Here is a 9,081-nt window from a genome sequence, read left to right as displayed (position 1 = left end):
TACTGGCAAACCAAATCCAGCAGCACATGAAAAGGCTTATCCACCATGATTAAGTTGGCTTCATCTCTGGGATGCAAGGCTGGTTCAACATATGCAAATCAATAAATGTAATCCATCATATAAACAGAACCAATGACAAAAACAACATGATTATCTCAATAGATGCAGAAAAGGCCTTTGACAAAATTCCACAGCCCTTCATGCTAAAAACTCTCAATAAATTAGGTATTGATGGGACATATCTCAGAATAGTAAGAGTTATTTATGACAAACCCACAGCCAATATCATACTGAATGGGCAAAAACTGGAAGCATTCCCTTTGAAAACTGGCACAAGACAGGGATGCCCTCTCTCACCACTCCTATTCCACATAGTGTTGGAAGTTCTGGCCAGGGCAATCAGGCAGGAGAAAGAAATAAAGGTATTCAATTAGGAAAAGAGGAAGTCAAATTGTCCCTGTTTGCAGATGACATAATTGTATATCTAGAAAACCCCATCGTCTCAGCCCAAAATCTCCTTAAGCTGATAAGCAACTTCAGCAAAGTCTCAGGATACAAAATCAATGTGCAAAAATCACAAGCATTCCTCTACACCAATAACAGGCAGAGAGCCACATCATGAGTGAACTCCCATTCACAATTGCTTCAAAGAGAATAAAATACCTAGGAATCCAACTGACAAGGGATGTGAAGGACCTCTTCAAGGAGAACTACAAACCACTGCTCAATGAAATAAAAGAGGATACAAACAAATGGAAGAACATTCCATGCTCATGGATAGGAAGAATCAATATCATGAAAATGGCCATACTGCCCAAGGTAATTTATAGATTCAATGCCATCCCCATGAAGCTACCTATGACTTTCTTCACAAAATTGGAAAAATCTACTTTAAAGTTCATATGGAACCAAAAAAGAGCCTGCATTGCCAAGTCAATACTAAGCCAAAAAAGAACAAAGCTGGAGGCATCACGCTACCTGACTTCAAACTATACTACAAGGGTATAGTAACCAAAGCAGCATGGTACTGGTACCAAAACAGAGATATAGACAAATGGAACGCAACAGAGCCCTCAGAAATAATGCCACATATCCACAAGTATCTGATCTTTGACAAACCTGACAAAAACAAGAAATGGGGATAGGATTCCCTGTTTAATAAATGGTGCTGGGAAAACTGGCTAGCCATATGTAGAAAGCTGAAACTAGATCCCTTCCTTACACCTTATATAAAAATTAATCCAAGATGGATTAAGGACTTAAATGTTAGACCTAAAACCATAAAAACCCTAGAAGAAAACCTAGGCAGTACCATTCAGGACATAGGCATGGGCAAGGACTTCATGTCTAAAACACCAAAAGTAATGGCAACAGAAGTCAAAATTGACAAATGGGATCCACTTAAACTAAAGAGCTTCTGCAGAGCAAAAGAAACTACCATCAGAGTGAACAGGCAACCTACAGAATGGGAGAAAATTTTTGCAATCTACTCATCTGACAAGGGGCTAATATCCAGAATCTACAATGAACTCAAACAAATTTACAAGAAAAAAAGAAACAACCCTATTAACAAGTGGGTGAAGGATATGAACAGACACTTCTCAAAAGAAGACATTTATGCAGCCAACAGACACATGAAAAAATGTTCATCATCACTGGCCATCAGAGAAATGCAAATCAAAACCTCAGTGAGATACCATCTCACACCAGTTAGAATGGCATTCATTAAAAAGTCAGGAAACAACAGGTGCTGGAGAGGATGTGGAGAAATAGGAACACTTTTACACTGTTGGTGGGACTGTAAACTAGCTCAACCATTATGGAAGACAGTGTGGCGATTCCTCAAGGATCTAGAACTAGAAATACCATTTGACCCAGCCATCCCATTACTGGGTATATACCCAAAGGATTATAAATCATGCTGCTATAAAGACACGTGCACACGTATGTTTATTGTGGCACTATTCACAATAGCAAAGACTTGGAACCAGCCCAAATGTCCAACAATGATAGACTGGATTAAGAAAGTGTGGCACATATACACCATGGAATACTATGCGGCCATAAAAAAGGATGAATTCATGTCCTTTGTAGGGACATGGATGAAGCTGGAAACCATCATTCTAAGCAAACTATCCCAAGGACAAAAAACCAAACACCGCATGTTCTCATTCATAGATGGGAATTGAACAATGAGAACACATGGACACAGGAAGGGGAACATCACACACCGGGGACTGTTGTGGGGTGGGGGAGAGGGGAGGGATAGCATTAGGAGATATACCTAATGTTAAATGACGTGTTAATGGGTGCAGCACACCAACATGGCACATGTATATATATGTAACAAACCTGCATGTTGTGCACGTGTACCCTAAAACTTAAAGTATAATAAAAAAAAATGTTAAGTAAAAAAATAAAATAAAATAAATTTTTGATGTTGTAATTTACATGTTCTTATGTTGTATATACCACAATAAATCACTATAGCTATTATTTTTAATAGTTTTGTGTTTTCAGCTTTATAGTAAAGATATAAATGATTTAAACATCACCTTTACAGTATTAAAGTATTCTGAATTTGTGTATATACTTTTTTCAGTGAGTTTTATACTTTCAGCTGTTTTTGTGTTACTCTTTAGTATCCTTTTTTTTTTCAGGCTGATGTGCTTCTTTTAGCATTTCTTGTAAACAGTTCTGGTGTGACTGAACTCCCTCAGCCTTTGTTCTCTGGGAAACTCTCTCTCCTTTATTTCTGAACCACACCTTTTTCAGGTACAGTATTCTTACTTGGCAGTTTTTTTTTCTTTCCAGCACTTTTAATGTATCATCCCACTCTCTCCTGGCCTGTAACACCTCTGCTGAGAAATTAACTCCTATGTGTACTAGAACTTCCTTATATGTTATTTGCTTCTTTTATCTTGATACTTTCAGGATCCTCTTTCTTTCCTTGAGTTTTGACAGCTTTATTTTATTATGTCTTGGCGTAATCTTGTTTGGATTGAATCTGATTAGAGAATTTTGACATTTCTGTACCTAGATATTTATATCTTTCTCCAAAGTTGGAAAGTTTCCTGCTAATATTTCTTTAAATAAACACTTTAATTCTTTATCTTTCTCTTCTCCTTCACAAACTCCTATAACCCAAACATTTGCTCATCAATCTTATAATCTTACTTCATTCCTTTTCATTCTTTTTTCTTCTCTGACTTTATATTTTCCAATAACCGGTCTTCAGAATCATAGGTTCTTTCTTCTGCTTGATCAATTTTGCTATTAATGCTCACTATTGCATTATTTATTTTATTCATTGTATTTTCCAGCTCCAGAATTACTATTTTTTTAAATAACTTAAATTTCTCTGTTAATTTTTAGTATTGGTACTTTATTGTTTTCCTGATCTTATTGAAGATTTTTAAGTATTTATTGAAGTTGTCCTATGTTCCTTAAAAAAGTTGTTTTGAATATTTTGTCAGGCAGTCCATATATCTTTATTTCTTGTGGGTCAGCTACTAAGAGATTATTGTTTGGTGTGTTCTTTGGTTTTGTTATATCTTCTTGGTTTTTTGTGTTTTCGTTACCTTACATGGATGACTGCACATTCAGAAAGTGAGGACTTATTCCAGTCTTTGCAGACTGGCTTTGTGTGGAAAAGCTGCTTCAGGCAGCCTGCCTAGAGATTCTGGGCAGGCCATTTGGCATAATCTGAAGGTAAGCTTGCTGTTGGAGTCCTGAGATAGGCTGGTGTGGTGCCTGGGTCAGCAGGTAGGCAACCTGGTGCCTGGGTCTGCGGGTTGGGCATAAAGCCTGGATCCATGGGGGCTGATCTTGCATGGAATAGACCTGGAGCCTGAGTCCATGGAGGCTGGCTCAGTGTTGGAGTGGGCCTGGAGCTCGAGTCTGTGGGGATGGGTTTGGGCTATGGACCCACAGTTGCTGGCCTAGAACTTTGGTCTTCATGGGTAATCTTGCAGCCTCAGTCCATGTGGTCTAGCCTGGTACTGGGGTCTACTGGGGTCTACTGGGTTGAGCTTGGGCCCTGGATCTGTGGTACAGCACTAGACTCTGGGTCATCTGAAGCCTGGGACCACAGGGACCAGCCTGGCACTTGGGGTTTTCTCAGTGCTGTAGTTGGTATGAAGCCTGGGTCCACAGGACACAGTCTGGAGCCTAGGATTACAGGTGTTGGTTTAGTGCATTAGACCCTGGTACTGGCCTGGAGCCTATGTCCACTAGTGTTTGCCTGGAGCCTGGGTATGCAGGTGTTGGCCTAGAGGATAGGCCCATGAGGGCTGCCCTAGGTCTTGGGGCCTTGGGAATAGCCACTTACCTGGGTATACAGGGGCTGTCCTGGAGCCTGGGTCCATGGGGGTTGGTCAGATGCTGGAATCTATTGGGGCAGCCTGAACCCTGGGTCTGCTGGAGTGAGGACCTACAGGAGCTGGCCTGGAAGCTGGGTCTGGGGGTGCCAGTCTGATGACTAGGACTGCAAGTGTTGGTCTGGTGCTGAGGTCGGCCTGAAGCCTGGGTCCATGGGGGCCACTTCACTGTTAGGGGTGGTTTGGACCCTGGAGTTGTTGAAATCAGGTTGGCAGTGGGGCAGCCTGGAGACCAAGTCCACTGGGAAGGCCTAGAGCCTGGTGGGGGACTTTGCCTGGTTCTAGTGCTGGCCTGGAGGCCCAGTCCTTGGGTAGGGGCCTCAAGTCTGAGGTCATGGAGTCAGATCAGTGCTAGATTTTACTGAGGAGGGTCTGGTTTTGGAGTCTGAGGCACAGTCCTGTGCTCACTTCCTTCTTCCTCTCCTAGGCAGTATCTGTCTCCATGCCGTGCTGTCCAGGGTTGAAGAATGGGCAATGTGGCTAATGTCCATCCTACTCTCCTCAATGCGTCTTTTCTTTCTGTGCTACATCCAGACACTATTGTCCTTCACCAGGTTTCTTTAGCACTTGGAAAGATATTTCCGTGTGTGGATAGTTGTTTGCATTAATGTTTCTTCAGGGAACAAGCATTGGAGAGTTCTATTTCTCCATCTTGCTGATGTTCTCACTCCCTGAACCTATTTTGTAATAGAAGTTTTTAGAACTCCGAACCCCAATTAACAATCAGCCTTTTTCCCTCTCATATTTGCCACCTAGTGTTACTGAATTTAAACTGCTCTTCATACTCTTGAACTTTACAGCTTATTTACTGGTTCATTTATTTTTATTTTTTGACCTGAGACATCTTCTTAATTTCTAGTGAGCTAGAACAGAAATAAGGCTACTACTCCTTTTGCCCTGTTCTTTGGCAGTGTACCCAGCTTATATTCACAGCAGACTCACAGATTACCATCTCAGGAATACAAACAAAGGATTCTTTCTTCAGGTGTTTGCTTAATATCCATTTTTCTAGGACATCTTTTTCTGGCCACTCTTTTCTTCTAGACTCAAGTGCTCCAGAAGAGTTGCCCCTCTTACCTAATTGTCAGCTGGCTATGGTGGGCAGTGAGCAAATGTCAACTACTATGTCTTAAATACTCACTCAGCATCTAACATAATCCTTTACCCATGATTCAAATGGTCCTTAAAAGTACTGAATAAGCCTTTTTTGCATGAGAGCCAATTTGGAGAATTTAAAAATATCTTCAGGCTGCATTATTTAAAATTTTAAACTAATTTTTATTACGCAAAGGCTGTCACAAAATTGGATATTTCTCTACTTTGTACACAATTTTTCTTACTCTCCACAGAAAGGCTGCTTCTTCTCATCTGGTGATGGCAAGCACTAAAATCCTGATTTTAATAGAATGGCTGTAAAAACGTCTCAGTGATTTAGGTTGAAAGCACTATATTAGTTCATGGCTCTTGCACCCAATATCAAGAATGTACAAATGTTTTTTCATTCAAAAATACAAAATAAATTATCTGTAGGCATGGGCAATGACAGCAGTAAATTATTATATATTGTCAACTGAAACCAGTAACTGATGGTTATGGTGATTTTCTTAAATTTCAGCCAGCCTTCTCTTCAGTCATTTTCTTCACCTGACTTCTAAAGTTATTGTTGAGGAACACTGTTTTGAGCTTCCTGTCACAGTTCAATAACAAAGGTAAAGCACTATTCTAGGAATTAGAACAAACCATCTCCCATTCCACCTATTGCACTCATTCCAGGGTTCTCTTTTTTAGGAATTTCTATGACTACAACTTCTGCGGTAGGTAACAGAGAGGCCACCTCAGCAGCATGCAGTAAAGCAGTTCTCACAATGTTTGTTGAGTCAATGATTCCTTTTTCTACCATATTCACAGAATCTCCAATCATAGCATCATAACCAACTTCAGAGGAATCTTGCATAATTTTTTCAGCTATCAAAGATCCTTCAACACTTGCATTCTTAGCATTGGTCATTGAAGGAATTTTGAGTGTTCTTTTAATAATTTCTATACCACTTAAAAAAATCGTCATTAGTTGGAGTTAATGAGTCCAAGGCTGGAATGCACTGAAGCAGAACAATGCCATCTTCAATAGCAGCTCTTGTAGCATTAAGGACATCGGTAAATCTGTCTTTCTTGTCTTTCACCTGAACATCACTTGTCTCACCAACCATCAACACGGCTACTCCATCTGAAAGTTTTGCCAGATATTCATTCAGTTTTTTCTTTTCATATCCACTAGTTATGATATCTAACTACTTAATGATTTCTTGAATACATTTTTCAATTTAAGCTTTGTCATCTTTTCCTTTTAATAGCATAGCATCATCTTTGGCCACAATGACCTCTCCAAATTTTCCTGAGTCATGAGGCTGAGCATCTTCAAGATTTAGGGTTAACCCCTCTTCTCCAAACACTGCACTACCAGTAGCAATAGCCATATCTTTAAGCTGGCTCCGTTGTCACCAAAACCTGAAACTTTGGCTGCTACAACCTGAAGACCAACTTTTAGCCTATTCAAGATGAGCGTACTTAACGTTTCTTCATCAATATCTTCAGCAATTGTGACCAAAGGCTTAAGGTAAGCACTGGCAATTTCAAGAGCAGGTACAATGGACTGGACACCAGAAATGTTCTTTTCACTCAGTAGAACATAGGCATCCTGGAATTCACATTTATGACCTTTTGATGTATTAATAAGCATGGAAAAATGTAGCCTCAATCAAACTTCATGCCTTCAGTAATTTCTTTTTTCTTTTCTTTTTTTTTTTTTTTTTGAGACGGAGTCTCGCTCTGTCGCCCAGGCTGGAGTGCAGTGGCGGGATCTCGGCTCACTGCAAGCTCCGCCTCCCGGGTTCACGCCATTCTCCTGCCTCAGCCTCCCAAGTAGCTAGGACTACAGGCGCCCGCCACTACGCCCGGCTATTTTTTGTATTTTTAGTAGAGACGGGGTTTCACCGTTTTAGCTGGGATGGTCTCGATCTCCTGACCTCGTGATCCGCCCGCCTCGGCCTCCCAAAGTGCTGGGATTACAGGCGTGAGCCACCACGCCCGGCCGCCTTCAGTAATTTCTAATTCATCATTCAATGTTTTTCCATCTTTCACTGTGAGCACAACCTTTCTCCCAACCTTTTTCATTGCACCAGAAATGATGCTACCAATTTTTTTTTGTCTCCCTTTGCAGAAATTGTAGCAACCTGAGCAATTTCTTCAGGGGTTGTCACAGGTTTAGACTGCTTCCTAAGTTCAGCAATTACAGTATCAACATCTAACCTCACACACTTCCGATTTCCACTGGATTAGCACCTTTGCTAACCTTCTCAAGGCCTTCTTTGCAGTAGAGCATGCCAGTATGGTAGCAGTGGTGATACCATCCCCAGCTTCTTTATTTGTGTTATTAGCAACATTTTGAACAAGTTTAGCTCCAATATTTTTATATTTATCCTTTAAGTCAATTGACTTTGCAACAGTCACACCATCTTTTTTTACTTTGGAACTTCCTCAGCTCTCTTCAATAATAACTGTTCTTCCCTTTGGCCCTATTGTAATGGCTAGAGAATTGGCTAAAAGGCCTACACCTTGAAGCATTAAGTTTTGGGCATCTGCACCAAAGTTTACATCTTTGGCATCAGCCTGAGGAAGATGAGGCTTCAGTACCCTGGACACCAGTCTTATTTGGCAAAAAAAAAAAAAAAAAAAAAAAATACTGTGGGTAATTGAAGCATTTCTGCAGGGCTGCAGCGGGGCGTGCGCACAGTGAGACAGGTCATTGGCAGTGAGTGAGGGACAGAGTGTAGGGCCCATTTTTTTTTTAATTCAAAGTGAAAATAGCTTCATCACATTCCATAGAATTATTTCTAAATTTTGCCATAATTAAGAATACTGCTTTATTAAGCAAAATAATGTTAATAAACAAATGGTGCTGCTTTTGAAGCCACAAAAATGTTGCTATCTGATCCTATTTGAGATGTAGTAACTCATACCACCTCTACTCATTCATATCTTACATTTTTAAAGTTCTTTACAACTCAGAAGTGAGTTCACAAACATTTTCTAACTTCAATCTCAAAGTTTTTCTTCAAATACATATCAATATACCCACTTCTCAGTTAGGGAAAGTCACAGCTCAAAGAAGTGCAAAAAAATATTGCCCAAAGTGACTCTGTTATACTTGGACTTGAATGAGCTCAATGCCTTTACTGTTATGTGAGAACTCCAGAACAATGTGAGTTATTGTTTAGTGAGAACTTCAAGTGAAGCAAGTCTGTTTCTAGGCCTCAGATGATAAACATTAAATCCCAAACAGCTTCCAACCCAAACCAGATTCTGATTATAGCAACGCCTCCACATTCAAATTGCGAAGGCTAAGTGTACAACCTGAAGAGCTCCAATGTCCCGAAATTTCTCAGAAAAGCTGGGTGCTCTGTGCTGGTCCTAGAGTCCCCAGGGGCTACTGGTTCTTAAAGGCCCCATCCTGCTTTTGACCTGATCTGGGTCTGAAAGTGGTACTTTCTCCCATAGTTGACCTCTACGTTGGTCATCACACGGCTGGAAATAAGAAATTCTAAAGCACATTCACCCTTTTACAGGGTCTAAAGTCTTTCCCTATGCCTAGCAGTGCTTCAGAAATTTGAGCAGGCATTAGAATCACCTAGAGAACAGGAAGTCT

General features: G+C 40.5%; 1 pseudogene, besides 1 other annotated feature; it reads right to left on the bottom strand.

Annotated features, from left to right (window-relative positions):
• Positions 4,089-4,589: an enhancer, noted in NCBI's record as "H3K27ac hESC enhancer chr13:79426863-79427363 (GRCh37/hg19 assembly coordinates)". NCBI's record gives its function as "activates a minimal SCP1, AML or CMV promoter by ChIP-STARR-seq in primed H9 embryonic stem cells {active_cell/tissue: H9 hESC(primed)}" and the evidence as "EXISTENCE:reporter gene assay evidence [ECO:0000049][PMID:30033119]".
• HSPD1P8 (heat shock protein family D (Hsp60) member 1 pseudogene 8) lies at positions 5,811-8,198 on the bottom strand (annotated as a pseudogene).

The sequence above is a fragment of the Homo sapiens genome, chromosome 13, assembly GCF_000001405.40.
Source record: "Homo sapiens chromosome 13, GRCh38.p14 Primary Assembly".
NCBI classification, from domain to species: domain Eukaryota; kingdom Metazoa; phylum Chordata; class Mammalia; order Primates; family Hominidae; genus Homo; species Homo sapiens.
This window is presented reverse-complemented; position numbering and strand designations above follow the sequence as displayed.